This window comes from Homo sapiens, chromosome 2 (genome assembly GCF_000001405.40).
Source record: "Homo sapiens chromosome 2, GRCh38.p14 Primary Assembly".
NCBI lineage: Eukaryota > Metazoa > Chordata > Mammalia > Primates > Hominidae > Homo > Homo sapiens.
The window spans coordinates 73,498,722-73,519,116 of record NC_000002.12 but is presented as its reverse complement, the minus strand read 5'-3'; the positions used below and the strand labels follow the sequence as shown (position 1 = coordinate 73,519,116).

At 38.6% G+C, this 20,395-nt stretch overlaps 1 protein-coding gene across 2 annotated transcripts in view, besides 1 other annotated feature; it reads right to left on the bottom strand.

Annotated features, from left to right (window-relative positions):
* Nucleotides 1–20,395, bottom strand: part of ALMS1 (ALMS1 centrosome and basal body associated protein) — a 224,162-nt gene that overhangs the window by 90,803 nt on the left and 112,964 nt on the right.
* Nucleotides 8,135–8,957: an enhancer, noted in NCBI's record as "H3K27ac hESC enhancer chr2:73737287-73738109 (GRCh37/hg19 assembly coordinates)". NCBI's record gives its function as "activates a minimal SCP1, AML or CMV promoter by ChIP-STARR-seq in naive H9 embryonic stem cells {active_cell/tissue: H9 hESC(naive)}" and the evidence as "EXISTENCE:reporter gene assay evidence [ECO:0000049][PMID:30033119]".

Genomic DNA, 20,395 nt, shown 5'->3' with positions numbered 1-20,395 from the left:
TTATTTCCATCTTGGAGACACCTAGCAAGCACTGCCTTATCCAAGTGATCAGTTAACATCACCAGTGATGATGTGGATACCACATATGCAACCTAGACAATACCATTCCAGACACAGAAACAGGCAATTTCACGACGAAGACACCAAAAGCAATTGCAACGAAAGCAAAAACTGACAAGTGGGATCTAATTAAACATAAGAGCTTCTGCACAGCAAAAGAAAAATTATCAACAGAGCAAACAGACAACCTATAGAATGGAAGAAAATATTTGCAAACTATGCATCTGATAAAGGTCTAGTATCCAGCATTTACAAGGAACTTAGTGGGCAAAGGACATGACAGACACTTTTTAAAAGAAGATATATATGCAGCCACCACGCATATGAAAAAAGCTCAATATCACTGATTACATAAATGCAAATCAAAACCACAATGAGATACCATTTCACATCAATCAGAATGGCTGTTATAAAAAAGTCAAAATATAACAGATGCTGTCAAGGTTGCAGAGAAAAGGGAGTGGTTATACACTGTTTGTGGGAGTGTAAATTAGTTCAACCATTGTAGAAAGCAGTGTGGCAATTCCTCATAGAGCTAAAACCAGATGCACCATTTGACTCAGCAATCCATTGCTGTGTACATACCCAAAGAAATATATGTCATTCTACCATAAAGACACGTGCACACAAATGTTCATTATAGTACTATTCACAATAACAAAGACATGAATCAACCTAAATGCCCCATAAATGACAGACTGGATAAAGAAAATGTGGTACACTTACACCATAGAATACTATGCAGCCATATAAAAGAACAAGATCATGTCTTTTGCAGAACATGGATGGAGCTGGAGGTCATTATCCTTAGCAAACTAATGCAGGAACAGAAAACCAAATACTGCATCCTCACATTTATAAGTGGGAGCTAAATGATGAGAACTCATGGACACAAAGAGGGGAACAACAGACACTGGGGCCTACTTGAGGGTGGAGGGACAGGGGAGACAAACAGAAAAAAAAAAAAAACTACTGGGTACCACGCTTAGTACCTGGGTGATGACATAATCTGTAAAACAAACCCCCATGACACAAGTTTACCTATAGAACAAATTGGAACATGTACCCCCTGAACCTAAAAGTTTAAAAATAAAAAATAGGTCAGGCGTGGTGGCTCACGCCTGTAATCCCAGTATTTTGGGAGGCTGAGGTGGGTGGATCACCTGAGGTCAAAAGTTCGAGACCAGCCTGGCCAACATGGTGAAACCCCATCTCTACTAATAATACAAAAATTAGCCAGGCGTGGTGGTGCATGCCTGTAATCCCAGCTACTCAGGAGGCTGAGGCAGGAGAATCACTTGAACCCAGCGGGCAGGGGTTGCAATGAACCGAGATTGCGCCATTGCACTCCAACTTGGGCAACAAGAGCAAAACTCTGTCTTCAAAAAAATAAAAATAAAAATAAAATGAAAAAAAAAGATGTTAACAACAGGAGAAGCTAGAAGAGTGGTATAAGGAACTCTACTATACGTGTTTCTTTTTTGTAACTCTAAAATTACTTGAAAATAAGGCCTGGCACAGTGCCTCACATCTGTGATCCCAGTTCTTTGGGAGGCTGAGGCAGGAGGATCACTTGAGCCAAGGAGTTAGAGGTCACCCTGGGCAATGCAGCAAGATCGTCTCTACAAAACATAAAAAAAATAGGCACAGTGGCATGCGCCTATAGTCCCAGCAACTGAGGAGGCTGAGGCAGGAGGACTGCTTGAGACCAAGAGTTCGAGGCAGCAGTGAGCCGTGACTGCACCACTGTACTCCAGAGCCTGGGTAACAGAGCAACACCTTGTCTCTATAAGAAAAAAAAAAAAAAAAAGACTAAAACTTTCAAAAAATCACTTGAAAATAAAGTTTCAAGAAAAGAGAATAATGTCATATTGTATTAGAGTAATATCTAGAATATATCACAAAAGTAGAACTTTTGAGTCTCTACCGTATGTCTACCATTCACTAATTGAAAAGGACAATTATGAGAAAAGAAAAAAAAGGTCAATTTCCCTTTTTTTGGTGGTATGGGAGGCTGGGGGCTGAGTCAGAGTAATAGACTGAAATCTCATTCATACTCATGGCACTATAAGAAACCAAGTCCCACTAGATGGAGAGGCCTGGGACAAACACACATCAGCTCTCCTCCTTAAAACATTTGCCAAATGTTGTACCTGCTTAAGGCAGGGGGCTTAATAACTAATGCTTGAGGGAGAGAACTTTTAAAGGTAAGGAATTAAAGACTCACTAGACTCTCAGTCAAAAGTCAGAAGGGCCAACCCCAATAAAGGGGCTGAGTCAGAAAAACAGTAAAATTATTTGCAAGAGTACTAATGAAATGAATTTCCCTTGAGAAAGTTTAACTGCAAGAAATGCATGACTGTTGTTCCCCTTACAACATTTACCATATTCTAAAGTTGTGAGGGCAAAGAGTCTAAAGAGCTGAGTTCAAACACCTGAAAGCCTCAACTGAGTTCTTACAATATTTAGTTGTTGAAAAACCAAAGATCTGTCAGGCTTAAAGCAAAAATTGTTTTTTGTATTCCATGTCTTTGCTATTGTGAATAGCAATAATATGATATTGATTATATGTGTTTTTTCAGTAGAATGATTTATTTTGTTTTGGGTATATACCCAGTAATGGGACTGCTGAGTTGAATGGTAGTTCTGTTTTAAGCTCTTTAAGGAATCTCCACAGTTTTCCCCAGTGGCTGAACTATGTTATGTTCCCACCAACAGTGTACAAGCCTTCCCTTTCTTCTGCAACCTCACCAACACCTGTTATTTTTTTTACTTTTTATTAATAGACATTCTGACTAACATGAGATGGTATCTCATTGTGGTTTTCATTTGCACTTCTTGAATGATTAGTAATGTGGAACATTTTTTCATATATTTGTTGGCTGCAAGTATGTCTTCTTTTGAGAAGCGTCTGTTCATGTCCTTTGCCCATTTTTTAAATAGGGTTGTTCTTTGCTTGTTGAACTGCTTAAGTTCCTTACAGATTCTGGATATTAGACCTTTGTTGGATGCACAGTTTGCAAATATTTTGTCCCATTCTGTACGTTGTTCATTTACTATGCTGACGGTTTCTTTTGTCGTGAAGAAGTTTTTTATTACTGACTCAATTTCAGAACTCATTATTGGTCTGTTCATGATTTCCATTTCTTCCTGGCTCAATCTTGGGAGATTGTATATTTCCAGGAATTTATCCATTTCTTCTAGGTTTCCTAGTTTGTGTGTGAATAGGTGTTCATAATAGTCTCTGAGTTTGTGTGTGTGTGTGTGTGTGTGTGTGTGTGTGTGTGTATTTCTGTGGAGTCAGTGATAATGTCACCTTTGTCATTTCTGATTGTACTTATTTTGTCTTCTTTTTTCTTTAACAATTTAGTTAGTGGTCTGTCAATCTTGTTTATTCTTTGGAAGAATCAACTTTTGGTTTAGTTAATCTTTTGTATGGATTTTCGCATCTCAATTTCATACAGTTCAGCTCTAATTTTCGTTATTTATTTTCTTCTGTTAGCTTTGGGGTTGGCTTGCTCTTGTTTTTCTAGTCCCTCTAGATGCAAATACCCTCAATCTCTATTATCCTCTTATTTACAATATCCAACACACAAAACATTATGTAACATATGAAGCAGGAAAAAATGATCAAAAATTGAGAGGAAAAAATAGACAAGAAAAACTGATTTACAGGGGATTTAGCTACTAGTTAGCACAAAAAGACTTCAAAATGGTTATTAATATATTGAGAGCAAAAGATAAAGGGAAATAGATAAAATATGGAAAATCTCAACAGAAAACTACAATCTATTAAAAAAAGAAATGAATATTTCAGAATAAAAATACATTATCTAAAATCTGATTCAACTGTAGTAGAAGCAAATAGACACTGTGTAAAAATAATTTGTAAATTCAAAAAGTCTACAGAAAACTGCCAAACATAAAAAGAACGAACGGATGACAGCATAAGAGACTCACGGGGCACAGTCATATAATCCAATACATGTGTAATCTTACTCCTAGGAGAAGAGGGAAGAGTGCAGAAACAATATTTATGAGTTAATGGGTAAGAATTTTCCAAAACAGGTAGAAGACTTAATCTACTGAGTTAAGAAGCTCAGTGAACACAAAGTAATACTAAGAAAAACCAACTCTTGGGGCATCAAAGCCAAACTGCTGAAAATCAAAGGTGCAAAAATAAGAACGACACTTGGCCTTTCAACAAAGATAGTAGCTCTTTAAAGTGCTGAAATAAAAACCTACAATTCTATAACCAACTGAAATACATTTCTTAAACCAAACAAATAAAAACTAAGATAATCCCCAGAAGACTTCAGGAAATACTAAAGGAAATTTTTTAGGCTGAAGGAAAATGATCCAACATAGTACAGAACTGCTAGAAAGAATGCAGAACACTTAAAGGATGTGTGTATGTAAATATATACATGTACATATACATACATACACTCTTGTGTATATATACATATTTTACGTTGCTTTATATTTCTTATATACATATATATGGAAAAGAATGTTGTTTGTTCAAAGCAACAATAATAATGTCCTGTGGGATTCAGAACATGTAGAACAGAAATATATGACAACAAAAGCACAAATAGGAGGAGTGAGTAAATAGAGTTCAACTGTCCTAAGATACTTTGCTGCTCATAAAGCGAAAAAAGTACTAATTTAAGGTAAACTATACAGTCAAGGAAGTATATTATAATCTCTAGAATAACCACTAAAAGAAAAAAAAGTAAAAGAAGCCAATAGAGAAAATAGCATGGAATAAAAATAATTAATTAATCTAAAATAATAGAGGATAGCAAAATCAACTAGCTCAATAATTATATTAAATGTAAATGAACTAAATATCTCAGTTATAAGATAAAGATTAACAGACAAGATTAAAAATGAATAACATTCAACCATATGACATTGACAAGTGATGCACTTTACTGTGAGGTCACAGATAGGTTGAAAGTAAAAGGAGAGAAAAGATATATTAATCACAAAGTAACAAAAAATAAGCTTCCTATTCTCTTTCCCCTCTCCTGTGTTTCTATTCTCCCTTTCTTTTATCTTTCCCATCCCAAACAATACAATCTTAAAACCATTAGGTAGGCAGAACAAGGCGGGAATCTGTAGCAAATGGAGTGACAACGGGCCAGAGCAAGGTATCAGAATCTCATTAGGGTAAGGAAGGTGCCCATGTAAAGAAGTGTCCTAGCACAGAGTATTAGAATTCAAGCAGGGCAAGAAGACAGTCTCTGCAGACGTGTGGCTTAGTGTGCAATAAAAGCACCAAATCAGGATATGGAGGGCTTCCATGAAGAGGGAGGTCCACCAGACATGTGGAGTTAGAGCCCAAGCAGAATGAGGTAGGTGTCTCCACACTGGGGTGGCCTTACATGGAGTGGCAGAGCTGCAGTAGAGAAGGAAAATACCTACACAGAGAGATAGCCTAGGCTGGGAAGTCAGATTTCCTGCAGGATGAGAAGGGTGTCATACAGGGTAAGGGCAGTGTGGTGAGTCACTACTCAAGCAGGGTGACAGGAGTCAGTCTGACCTTGAATGTCAGAACCTGAGTGAGGAGGCTGTCTAAATGGCGTAGCCTGACATCTTGAGTCAAATCCTAAACAAGATGAGGGCATCCAAGTAGAGGGAGACCAATGTGAGGTGTCATGAGCCTATGCAGCATGAGGAAGAAATCCATGTGAGGGGGTAGTTCAGCATGGGGAGTCAGAACCTACGTGGGGTGGGGAGAGTGTCCATACGTTGAGGGTGATGAGCATTCTGACACAGGGAAGTCAGAGACCAAGTAGGGAGGGGTGCTATACATGTTGAGGAGTGGTCTAGCATGGAATGCCAAAGCCCAAGCAGGGTGAAAAGAGCATCCACCCAAGGAGACAGACAATAAAGTGTTTGAATCCAAGTGGAGCGTTAGGGTCATCCTTGCTGGGGAGAGGTTGGCAAGAAATGAGAGAATTCGTTATATAAAGCACACTGGAAGTGAGGTTACTCACTATTAGATATGAAAGTTACAAAAACAAAGAAAAAAGTAAAAAATGAGATGAACATATGGTTTTTAATATATACAGATAGAGAAATAAATATTAATGTAAATAAGTGTAGGGCTGGGAGCAACACATATGCCTAGTGTTTAAATCCTAACCTCTAAATAGCACATTCCACTGGAAGAACAGGCTTCTTGGAGAAGTAGTTGATTCCAGAGCTGGAGAAAGAAAAGTATAAGATGAGCCTGAAATATCTTGTGCCAGAAAGCAAAGACATGATCAAAAGATGACGGGGACATACAAAAAGGATATAGAGCCAGCTTGAAGGGGCTGCCACCGGCCACCAAATCTGTATTTTGAGCATCAAAACAAATTACAATAGTAACAATAAATAGAATAAGAAAACTTGGTTTTGTACAATGTAAAAATTTGCAAGTCTGAAATCTAATAAAGAATTTGTATCCAGAATATATAAAGATTCTCTAAATTCAACAGTAAAAAAAATGCAATTAGAAAATGAGCAAAACAATTTTAATAGAAAACATATAGATAGTAAATGGGCATATTAAAAATGTTCATTGTCAGTAGTAGAGAAATGCAAATTAAAGCAATAATGAGATAACCCCTATATACCAATCAGGAAGGCTAAATTAAAAAAAAAAAAAATCTGACAGTGGACAGGCGTGGTAGCTTACGCCTGTAATCCCAGCACTTTGGGAGGCCAAGGTGGGCAGATCACAAGGTCAGGAGTTCAAGACCAGCCTCACCAATATGGTGAAACCCCATCTCTACTAAAAATATAAAAATTAGCTAGGCGTGGTGGTACGCACCTGTAGTCCCAGCTACTCGGGAGGCTGAGGCAGGAGAATCGCTTGAACCCGGGAGGCAGAGGTTGCAGTGAGCTGAGATCCTGCTACTGAGCTGAGATCATGCTACTGCACTCCAGCCTGGGTGACAGAGTGAGACTCCATCTCAAAAAAATAAAAATATAAAAAATACTGACAGTATAAATGCTGATGAGGATGTGGAGGAACTTGATCTCTCACACATTGTTATTGGAAATGCAAAATGTTATAACCACTCTGGAAAACACTCTGGCAGTTTCCTATAAAATTAAACATATACTTACGTACAACTCAATAATCACACTCCTGGGTCTTAATCCTAGTGCAGTTTCTCAACCTCAGCACTGACATTTTGAAACAATTCTTTGTTGTGGAGGACTGTCTTGTGCATTCTAGGATATTCCACAGCACCTCTATGTTTTATTTACTAGACACCAGTAGCATTTCTTTCCTAGTCATTACAATCAAAAATGTCTTCAGACATTTCCCATGTTCCCTGAGAGGTAAAATCACTCCTAGTTGAGACCCACTGTCATAGAGAAATAAAAAACTTATGGTCATGTAATAACAAGTACATGAGGGATTCCCGGGCAAGATGGCCAAATAGAACAGCTCCAGTCTGCAGCTCCCAGCAAGACCAACGCAGAAGGCAGGTGATTTCTGCATTTCCGACTAAGGTACCCAGTTCATCTCATTGAGACTGGTTAGACAGTGGGTGCAGCCCACAGAGGGTGAGCAGCAGCAGGGTGGGGGTGTCGCCTCATTCGGGAAGCACAACGGGTTGGGGAACTCCCTCCCCTAACCAAGGGAAGCCATGAGGACTGTTCCAGCCCAGATACTAGGCTTTTCCCACAGTCTTCGAAACCCACAGACCAGGAGATTCCCTTGGGTGCCTATACCACCAGGGCCCTGGTTTCAAGCACAAAACTGAGCGGCCATTTGGGCAGACACCGAGATAGTTGCAGGAGTTTTCTTTTCATACTCCAGTGGCGCCTGGAATGCCAGCAAGACAGAACCGTTCACTCCTCTGGAAAGGGGGCTGAAGCCAGGAAGGCAAGTGGTCTAGCTCAGTGGATCCCACCCCCAAGGAGTCCAGCAAGCTAAGATCGACTGGCCTGAAATTCTGACTGCCAGCAGAGCAGCCTGAAGTCGACCTAGGATATTCAAGCTTTGTGAGAGGAGGGGCATCCACCATTACTGAGGCTTGAGTAGGCAGTTTTCCCCTCACAGTGTAAACAAAGCCGCTGGGAATTTCCAACTGGGTGAAGCCCAGACTGCCTCTCTAGATTCCTCCTCTCTGGGCAGGGCATCTCTGAAAGAAAGGCAGCAGCCCCAGTCAGGGGCTTATAGATAAAACTCCCATCTCCCTGGGACAGAGCACCTGGGGGAAGGGGCAGCTGTGGGCACAGCTTCAGCAGACTTAAACGTTCCTGCCTGCCAGCTCTGAATAGAGCAGCAGATCTCCCAGGACAGCCCTCGAGCCCTGCTAAGGGACAGAATGCCTCCACAAGTGGGTCCCTGACCCCCGTGCCTCCTGGTGGGGAGACACCTACCAGCAGGGGTCGACAGACACCTCACACAGGAGAGCCCTGGCTGGCATCTGGCGGGTGCCCCTCTGGGACAAAACTTCAGAGGTAGGAGAAGGCAGCAAACTTTGCTGTTCTGCAGCCTTCATTGGTGATACCCAGGCAAACAGGGTCTGGAGTGGACCCCCAGTAAACTCCAGCAGACCTGCAGCAGAGGGGCCTGACTGTTAGAAGGAAAACTAACAAACAGAAAGCAAAAGCATCAACATCAACAAAAAGAACGACCACGCAAAAACTCCATCTGAAGTTCACCAACAGCAAAGACCAAAGGTAGATAAATCCACAAAGATGAGGAAAAACCAGTGCAAAAAGGCTGAAAATTCCAAAACCAGAATGCCTCTTCTCCTCCAAAGGATCACAACTCTCACCAGCAACAAAACTGGATGGAGAATAAGTTTGACAAATTGACAGAAGTAGGCTTCAGAAGGTGGGTAATAACAAACTTCTCCGAGCTAAAGGAACATGTTCTAACCCAATGCAAGGAAGCTAAGAACATTGATAAAAGGTTAGAGGAATTGCTAACTAGAATAACCAGTTTAGAGATGAACATAAATGACCTGCTGGAGCTGAAAAACACAGCATGAGAAATTCGAGAAGCATACATAAGTATCAATAGCTGAATCGACCAAGTGGAAGAAAGGATATCAGAGACTGAAGATCAACTTCATGAAATAAAGTGTGAAGACAAGAAATATGGGACTATGTGAAAAGACTAAACGTACGTTTGATTGGTGTACCTGAAAGTGACAGGGAGAATGGAACCAAGTTGGAAAACACTCTGCAGGATATTATCCAGGAGAACTTCCCCAACCTAGCAAGACTGACCAACATTCAAATTCAAGAAATACAGAGAACACCACAAAGATACTCCTCAAGAAGAGCAACCCCAAAACACATAATCGTCAGATTCACCAAGGTTGAAATGAAGGAAAAAATATTAAGGGCAGCCAGAGACAAAGGTCAGGTTACCCATAAAGGGAAGCCCATCAGACTAACAGCAGATCTCTTGGCAGAAACCCTACAAGCCAGAAGAGAGTGGGGGCCAACATTCAACATTCTTAAAGAAAAGAATTTTCAACCCAGAATTTCATATCCCGCCAAACTAAGCATCATAAGTGAAGGAGAAATAAAATCCTTTACAGACAGGTAAATGCTGAGGGATTTTGTCACCACCAGGCCTGCCTTACAAGACCTCCTGAAGGAAGCACTAAATATGGCAAGGAAAAACCAGTACCAGTCACTGCAAAAATAATAATAATAATAATAAAATGTAAAGACCATCAACACTATGAAGAAACTACATCAACTAATGGGCAAAATAACCAGCTAGCATCATAATGACAGGATCAAATTCACACCTAACAATAGTAACCTTAAATGTAAATGAGCTAAATGCCCCAATTAAAATGCACAGACTGGCAAACTGGATAAAGAGTCAAGACCCATTGGTGTGCTGTATTCAGGAGACGCATCTCATGTGCAAAGACACACATAGGCTCAAAATAAAGGGATGGAGGGAGATCTACCAAGCAAATGGAAAGCAAAAAATAACAACAACAACAAAACAACAAAAAAAAACAGGGGTTGAAATCCTAGTCTCTGATAAAACAGACTTTAAACCAACAAAGATCAAAAAAGACAAAGAAGAGCATTACATAATGGTAAACGGATCAATGCAACAAGAAGAGCTAACTATCCTAAATATATATGCACCCAATACAAGAGCACCCAGATTCATAAAGCAAGTTCTTAGCGACCTACAAAGAGACTTAGACTCCCACACGGTAATAGTGGGAGACTTTAAAGCCCCATTGTCAATATTAGACAAATCAACGAGACAGAAAATTAACAAGGATATTCAGGACTTGAACTCAGCTCAAGGATATTCAGGAATTGAACTCAGGTCTGGACCAAGCAGACCTAATAGACATCTACAGAACTCTACACCCCAAATCAACAGAATATACATTCTCCTCAGTACTACATAGCACTTATTCTAAAATTGACCACATAATTGGAAGTAAAACACTCCTCAGAAAATGCAGAAGAATGAAAATCATAACAAACAGTCCCTCAGACTACAGTGCAATCAAATTAGAACTCAGGATTAAGAAACTCACTCAGCCGGGTGCGGTGGCTCACATCTGTAACCCCAGCATTTTGGGAGGCCGAGGCGGGTGGATCACAAGGTCAGGAGATCGAGACCATCCTGACTAACACAGTGAAACCCTGTCTCTACTAAAAATACAAAAAGAAATTAGCCAGGCGTGGTGGCAGGCACCTGTAGTCCCAGCTACTTGGGAGGCAGAGGCAGGAGAATGGCGTGAACCCAGGAGGCAGAGCTTGCAGTAAGCCGAGATCGCGCCACTGCACTCCAGCCTGGGCAACAGAGTGAGACTCGGAAAAAAAAAAAAAAAAAGAAGAAGAAGAAAGGAGGGCAGGGTGGAAAGAAAAGAAAAGAAAGGAAAGGAAAGGAAAGGAAAGGGAAAGGGAAAGGAAAGGAAAAGAAAAGAGAAAAGAAAAGAGAAAAGAAAACTCAAAACCGCACAACTACATGGAAACTAAATAACCTGCTCCTGAATGACTACTGGCTAAATAACGAAATCAAGGCAGCAAGAAATAAATTCTGTGAAACCAATGAGAACAAAGGCACAACATACCAGAATCTCTGGGACACATTTAAAGCAGTGTGTAGAGGGAAATTTATAGCACTAAATGCCCACAGGAGAAAGCAGGAAAGATCTAAAATCGACACCCTAACATCACAATTAAAAGAACTAGAGAAGCGAGGGCAAACAAATTCAAAAGCTAGCAGAAGACAAGAAATAGCTAAGATCAGAGCAGAACTGAAGGAAATAGAGACACGAAAAACCCTTCCAAAAAAATCAACGAATTCAGGAGCTGGTTTTTCGAAAAGATTAACAAAATAGATAGACCACTAGCCAGACTAATAAAGAAGAAAAGAGAGAAGAATCAAATAGACACAATAAAAAATGATAAAGGGCAGATCACCACTGATCCCACAGAAATACAAACTACCATCAGAGAATACTGCAAACACCTCTACGCAAATAAACTAGAAAATCTAGAAGAAATGGATAAATTCCTCGACACATACACCCTCCCAAGACTAAACCAGGAAGAAGTCAAATCCCTGAACAGTCCAATGACAAGTTCTGAAATTGAGGCAATAATAGCCTACCAACCAAGAAAAGCCCAGGACCAGATGGATTCACAGCCGAATTCTACCAGAGGTACAAAGAGGAGCTGGTACCATTCCTTCTGAAACTATTCCAAACAATAGAAAAAGAGGGACTCCTCCCTAACTCATTTTATGAGGCCAGCATCATCATGATACCAAAACCTGGCAGAGACACAACAAAAAAGAAAATTTCAGGCCAATATACCTGATAAACATCGATGCAAAAATCCTCAATAAAATACTGGCAAACCTAATCCAGCAGCACATTCAAAAGCTTATCCACCAAGATCAAGTCAGCTTCATCCCTGGGATGTAAGGCTGGTTCAACATACACAAATCAATAAATGTAATCCATCACATAAACAGAACCAATAACAAAAAACCACATGATTATCTCAATAGATGCAGAAAAGGCCTTCGATAAAATTCAACACCCCTTCATGCTAAAAACACTCAATAAACTAGGTATTGATGGAACATGTCTCAAAAAAATAAGAGCTATTTGTGACAAACCCACAGCCAATATCATACTGAATGGGCAAAAGCTGGAAACATTCCCTTTGAAAACCGACACAATGCAAGGATGGCCTCTCACCACTGCTATTCAACACAGTATTGGAAGTTCTGGCCAGGGCAATCGGGCAAGGGAAAGAAATAAAGGGTATTCAAATAGGAAGAGAGGAAGTCAAATTATCTCTGTTTGCAGATGACACGATTGTATATTTAGAGAACCCCATCATCTCAGCCCAAAAACTCCTTAAGCTGATAGGCAACTTCAGCAAAGTCTCAGGATACAAAATCAATGTGCAAAAATCACAAGCATTCTTATACACCAATAATAGAGAGCCAAATCACGAGCAAACTCCCATTCACAATTGCTACAAAGAGAATAAAATACCTAGGAATACAACATTCAATGGATGTGAAGGATGTCTTCAAGGAGACCTACAAACCACTGCTCAAGGAAATAAGAGAGGACACAAACAAATGGAAAAACATTCCATGCTCATGGATAGGAAGAATCAATATTGTGAAATGGCCATACTGTCCAAAGTAATTTATAGATTCAATGCTATCCTCATCAAGCTACCATTGACTTTCTTCACAGAATTAGAAAAAACTACTTTAAAGTTCATATGGAACCAAAAAAGAGCCCGTATAGCCACAACAATCCTAAGCAAAAAGAACAAAGCTGGAGGCATCATGCTACCTGACTTCAAACTATACTACAAGGCTACGGGAACCAAAACAGCATGGTACTGGTACCAAAACAGATACATAGACCAATGGAACAGAGCAGGGGCTTCAGAAATAACACCACACATCTACAACCATCTGATCTTTGACAAACCTGACAAAAGCAATGGAGAAAGGATTCCCTATTTAATAAATAGTGCTGGGAAAACTGACTAGCCATATGCAGAAAAGTGAAACTGGATCCCTTCCTTACACCTTATACAAAAATTAACTCAAGATGGATTAAAGACTTAAATGTAAGACCTAAAACCATAAAAACCCTACAAAAAAACCTAGGCAATACCATTCAGGACATAGGCATGGGCAAAGGTTTCATGACTAAAACACCAAAAGCAATGGCAACAAAAGCCAAACTTGACAAATTAGATCTAATTAAACTAAAGAGCTTCTGCACAGCAAAAGAAACTATCATTAGAGTAAACAGGCAACCTCCAGAATGGTAGAAAATTTTGCAGTCTATCCATCTGAAAAAGGGCTGAGATCCACATAACTGGAAGTAAAACACTCCTCAGCAAATGCAAAAGAACAAAAATCAAGGAAACTTAATTTACTTAAGAATGAAAACAAGGAACTTAAACAAATGTACAAGAAAAAAACAAACAACCCCATCAAAAAGTGGGCGAAGGATATAAACAGACACTTTTCAAAAGAAGACATTTATGCAGCCAACAAACATGAAAAAAAGCTCATCATCACTGGTCATTAGAGAAATGCAAATCAAAACCACACTGAGATACCATCTCACACCAGTTAGAATGGCAATCATTAAAAAGTTGGGAAACAACAGATGCTGGAGAGGATGTGGAGAAACAAGAATGCTTTTATGCTGTTGGTGGAAGTGTAAATTAGTTCAACCATTGTGGAAGACAGTGTGGTGATTCCTCAAGGATTTAGAACTAGAATACCATTTGACCAGCAATCCCATTACTGGGTATATACCCCAACGATTATAAATCATTCTACTATAAAGACACATGCACATGTATGTTTACTGCAGCATTATTCACAATAACAAAGACTTAGAACCAACCCAAATCCCTATCAATATTAGACTGGATAAAGAAAATGTGGCACATATATACCATGGAATACTATGCAGCCATAAAAAAGAATGAGTTCATGTCCTTTGGAGGGACATGGATGAAGCTGGAAACCATCATTCTCAGCAAACTAACACAGGAATAGAAAACCAAACACTCCATGTTCTCACTCATAAGTGGGAGTTGAGAATATATGGGCACAGGGAGGGGAACATCACACACTGGGGCCTGTTGTGGGGTAGGAAGCAAGGGGAGAGATAACATTAGGAGAAATACGTAATGTAGATGACGAGTTGATGGGTGCAGCAAACCACCATGGCACATGTATACCTATGTAACAAACCTGAACATTCAGCACATGTATTCCAAAACTTAAAGTATAAAAAAAAAAGTACATGAATGTTCATAACAGCTTTATTAGTAATAAGCATTGGAAACAATGTCCTTCAACAGGTGAATGGATAAACATACTGTATAAATTCCAAATAATGGAATGCTGACCAATACAAAGAAATTAACTACTGATACACACAAGTTGAATGGATCTCCAGGTGAGTATGCTGAGTAAGAAGAACACATCTCAAAGTTTACATGTTATGTTCCATCTATGTAACATGTTGGATTCCATCTATATAACTTCTCAAAATGACAAAATTATACAGTAGAAAAACAGATCACTGGCTTTCAGGGGTTAAAGAAGGCTGGCTTGAGGGAACAGGGTGTGACTAGAAAAGGGAAGGCACAAGGGAATTCCTTCACAGTGACAGAGCACTTCTGTATCTTGATTATGATGGCGGTTACATAAAGCTATACATGTGTTTAAATTTTACAGAATTACACATATATGCATTAGAATAACTGAGTGCATGCAAAAACTTGTGAAATCTGATTAGCGTCTGTAGTCCACTTGACTGTATTGTGCCAATATCAATTTACTGGTTTTGATAATGCATTATAGTTATGTAAGGACATTATCAATGGGGAAGCTGAGTGGGGACCTCCCTTGGCTATTTTTGTAACCTCTTGTGAGTCACATATTTTTCTTGTGAGTCTATATGTATTTTCAAATAACAAGTTAAAAAGAAAAAAGGTAGAAATTGATCATAACTCACTGAATAAAATAAGGAAGATTCTGTACAGATACAAATTAATAAGTAAGTTTGCTGATGAATAAGATGTTTACATAATTTAAACATACCTTCCATAAAACACTTAATTACAAAAGGGAAAAGAGTATCTTGTTTGGGGTATTAAGGTGCCTAAGAGCTTTCATGCCTACTGTGGGATGAAAAGGTACCTAACAGCCACAACCTTATTGAGTTTTAAAATGATAAAGGCACCTAACAGCCACAACTTTATTGAGTTTTAAAGTGATAAAGAGGACATGGAAAAATAGGAACACTTTTACACTGTTGGTGGGACTGTAAACTAGTTCAACCATTGTGGAAGTCAGTGTGGCGATTCCTCAGGGATCTAGAACTAGAAATACCATTTGACCCAGCCATCCCATTACTGGCTATATACCCAAAGGATTATAAATCATTCTACTATAAAGACACATGCACACGTATGTTTATTGCGGCACTATTCACAACAGCAAAGACTTGGAACCAACCCAAATGTCCAACAACGATAGACTGGATTAAGAAAATGTGCCACATATACACCATGGAATACTATGCAGCCATAAAAAATGATGAGTTCATGTCCTTTGTAGGGACATGGATAAAATTGGAAATCATCATTCTCAGTAAACTATAGCAAGAACAAAAAACCAAACACTGCATATTCTCACTCATAGGTGGGAATTGAACAATGAGAACACATGGACACAGGAAGGGGAACATCACACTCTGGGGACTGTTGTGGGGTCGGGGAAGGGGGGAGGGATAGCATTAGGAGATATACCTAATGCTAAATGACGAGTTAATGGGTGCAGCACACCAGCATGGCACATGTATACACATGTAACTAACCTGCACATTGTGCACATGTACCCTAAAACTTAAAGTGTTATAAAAAAATAAAAATAAAAAAAAAGACATTACTGGGAGAACTGGAGAAATCTAAATAATGTCTGTAATGCACTAGTATGAATTTCCTAATTCTCATGGTTTTATTGTGGTCCTATAGGAGAATGTCCTTTTATAGGAAATGAGACTATATTACACGAAAGTGATTGTGCAGCAGGTCAACAACGTATTCCCAAATAACTAAGGAGAAAGAGAAGTTCCTTGTGCCATATTTACCTTTTCTATAACTTTGTTATTGTTCCCCTCCCCACAAAATACTCCAAAGAAGATCTAAAGGAGAAACAGAAAACACACAAACATAACTGGAGATGTATGCTGTTTTCAAATGCTGATTAAACAAGCAGATAAAAATTCAGTAAAGATGACAATTTCAACAATACAGTTGATCAACTGGACCAATGTAATTCACTACATCAGTAGAAAAAAGGAGAAAACATGTATGATCATATCCATAGATCAGGAAAAACATCTGAAAAATTAAACACCCATTCATGATAAAACTCACTTAGAAAACATCCTCAAGCTGATAAAAGGCACCCATTAAAAATCTACAGGTAATATTAAACTTAATGACAAAACACTACTCTACTCTCCTGCCCTCCAGGAATAGGGAACAGGGCAAGATGTCTGCTTTTACTACTTGTTTTGGTATCATATTCAATGTTCTAGCCAGTGCATTAAGCAAGAAAAAGAAATAAAAGGCATGAGAACTGCAAAGGAAGGAGTAAAACTGCTCTGTTCTCTGGTGAAATGATTATGTATGAAGAATAGACTTTATACCTGAGGATCCCAGTAAATTTAAAGAAGAAACTCTTGAAATCTTAGAGGAGTTACTGAACATAAAACAGAGAACAAATAGATATATGTCAACCACTGGAACTTTTGCCTTGTATAAATTCTCTACAGCACTCATTGCCCTAAAACATCCCACAGTAGGCATGAAAGCTCTGACCCAAAGAATAATAAATTAAAATTAAAATTAACTTGTTGGGACCTACAAATTGGCATGACAACAGTATTTCTATATATAAGCAATGAACAATGAGAAAACTTAAATTTTAAAATGCCATATACCATAGTATATTAACTACTTAGGAATATATTTAGTAGATGTGTAAAATCTACACAACGAAAATTACAATATGTCACCGGGGGACATTAAAGATGACTTAAATAAGTGGGGAAGAAAAATCTCACCATGTTCATGCATAGGAAGACTGAAAATTCAAATGTCAATCTACAAAATTGATCTACAGATTCCATACAATCCCCAAAAAAATCCCAGTATGCTTATTCTAAAATTTGTATGAAAATGCAAAGGACTTGAAATAGCAAAAATAATTTTGAAAACAAAAACAAGGTTGGAGGACATAACCTGATTTCAAGACTTACTATAAAGCTACAGTAATCAAGACATTGTGGTACTGGTGTAAAGATAAATAAAAAGAACAAAGAAACAGAGTAGAAACTCTAAAACTTACACATATAAGGCCAACTAATTTTGACCAAGGTTCCAACTAACTTCAATAAGGAAATAATCATTTTTGAAAAGTGGTGCTAGAATATTCCTAGGAAAGAAAATGATCCTCAACTGCATAACTTACACCACAAAGGAGAATTTGGAAACAGATCACAGACTTGATCACAAAGTTAAGACCATAACATTTCTACATGAAAATACAGGAGAAAACTTTTACAACACTTGATTAGGCAACATTTCTTAATCAGGACACAAAAAAGTACTAATCATTAAAAAAAAATTACCAAAGTGGAATTCATCAAAATTAAAGCTTTCTGTTCCCCAGAGACACCATTAAGAAAACAAAAATCACACCACAGACTATGAGAAAATATTCACAATACACAGAGGATTTGTATCTGGAATATATTATAAAAATTCCTATAATACTGAGACAAATAATCCAATGGATAAAAGTGAACAGATACTTCATAAATAAAATCATGCAAATGGGCAAGAGACACAGAAAAGATGCTCAGCATCATTAGTCATCATGGAAATACAAATTAAAATTACAATACCATACTGTTTCATACTCACATTTAGAATGAGTGAAATTAAAAATAACTGTTAATACCCAGTGTTGGCAAGGATGTGGAATAACTGAAACTCACATATGCAGTTAATGGGAACAAAAAACAGTAGAAGTGGTTCCAGTTCCAGGTTAGCGTATCTAATCCTAGATGAGATGAGCTATAAAACCTAGATAGACTACATGGAGCAGCTATTGGAAGACTGTGGAAAATAACAGAAGCAGGCAGATTGAAGATCATAAAATCTGAAATATCATCAAAATGGTAATGAGTTTGCCATCATTTTTGTTTCCTCTGTCATTCCTTGGCCTGAACTCAATATAGCCTGAAACCTAAAAGTGGATATTAGCATAGAGAGAAAGACTTCACAGCGAAGCCTTCTAGTTCAGGCTTCAGGAATGAAAGAAGGGTCTCCCAACACTCTATATAGAGTGTGGAATCCCCTTTTTCCTTATCTCTGTATATTAGTCATAGCATCCCAGTAATCTCATGGTGGCAATGGTACAAGCAGTAACAGAGGCTGGCAGGAGCCTAAAGTTCTGAAGAAGGGAAACCTTCAACTTACACCAAAGGAAATGTGGTCTCAAGAGTGACCACTCCTGGTTGGCTTTTTCTCCTTCTGTCCTGTGCCACTCAGCCCTGACACAATGTAGTCACAGAAAGTACATAGAAAAGGGATAAAAGTACCTAGAAAAGGGCCACTAGGCACACACACAGACAACAGATGTGAACAGCACTGCAAAATCTTTGAAAACTGAATGGACTTGGAACAACAACCTACAGAAGGCTGGCTGGAATTTTTAACCTGAAACTAGTTGGGTCATTGTCTGCTAAAACAAAAACATCAACATTCTCTATGGCATTTAAACAAGACTTGTCATTTCATAACACGTCATTATGAAATACAATCCAAAATTATTCATCATATTTAGAACCAGAAAAATCTCAGCTCAAATGGTGTCTTAGTCTGTTTGCACTGCTATTAAGGAATACTTGAGGCTGGGTAATTTACCAAGTAAAAAGGTTTGTTTGGCTCACAGTTCTGCAGGCTGTGTAAGAAGCATGGGACCAGCATCTGCTTCTGGTGAGGAACTCAGGAAGCTTCCAATCACAGCAGAAGTGTAAGGGGAGAGCCCACATCACACGGGAAGAGAAAAGAAGTGGAAGGTGGGGAGGAGGGGAGTCATTCTTTTTTAAACAACCAGCTCTTGGGTGAACTACGAGCCAGAACTCACTCATTACCACAGGGAGGTCACTGAGCCATTCATGAGGGATCTGCCCCCATAACCCAAACATCTCTCTTTAGGTCCCACCTCTAATGCTGGGGATCAAATTTCAATATGAGATTTTGAAGAGACAAATATAAAAACTAAATCACATGGGAACAGACACCAAGGCTAGGATAAAAGAGATATCAGAATTCCCTGACAAAAACTATAAAACAGCAGAAATAAATGAAAACTGGATACTTACATGCAGAAGAATGAAGCTAGAACTCTATATCTTTCGCCATATACAAAAATCAAATCAAAATGGATTAAAAACTTAAACCTAAGACCTCAAATCATGAAACTACTACAGAAAAACATGAGGGAAAATCTTTAGGATATTGGTCTGGGCAAAAATTTCTTGAGCAATACCCCACAAGCACAGGTAACCAAAGCGAAAATGGACAAATGGGATCACATCAAATTAAAAAGCTTCTTTACAGCAAAGGGTACAATCAATAAAGTGAAGAAGACAACCTACAGAATGGAAGAGAATATCTGCAAACTACCCATCTCACAAGGGATTAATAACCAGAATACATAAAGAGCTCAAACAATTCCATAGGAAAAAATCTAATAATCCAATCAAAACACTAAAACTAAAAACTACAATGAGATATCATCTCACCCCAGTTAAAATGGCTTATATGGAAAAGACAGGCAATAACAAATGCTGGTGAAGACGTGGAGAAAAGGGAACCCTTGTATACTATTGCTTGGAATGTAAATTAGTGCAATTGCTAAGGAGAATAGTTTGGAGGTTCCTTAAAAAAACTAAAAACTGAGCTACAATATGATCCAGCAATCCCACTGCTGAGTATATACCCAAAAGAAAGGAAATCAGTATATGGAAGACTGATTTTGTTACTCAAAAGCAATCTACAGTTTCAATGCAATCCCATGTTTGTTGCAGCAGTGTTTGTGGTAAGCTAAGATTCGGAAGCAGCCTATGTGTCCATCAATAGATGGGTAAGAAAATGTGGTACATATACACAGTGGAGTACTATTCAGACATAGAAAATGATGAGATCCAGTCATTTACAACAATATGGA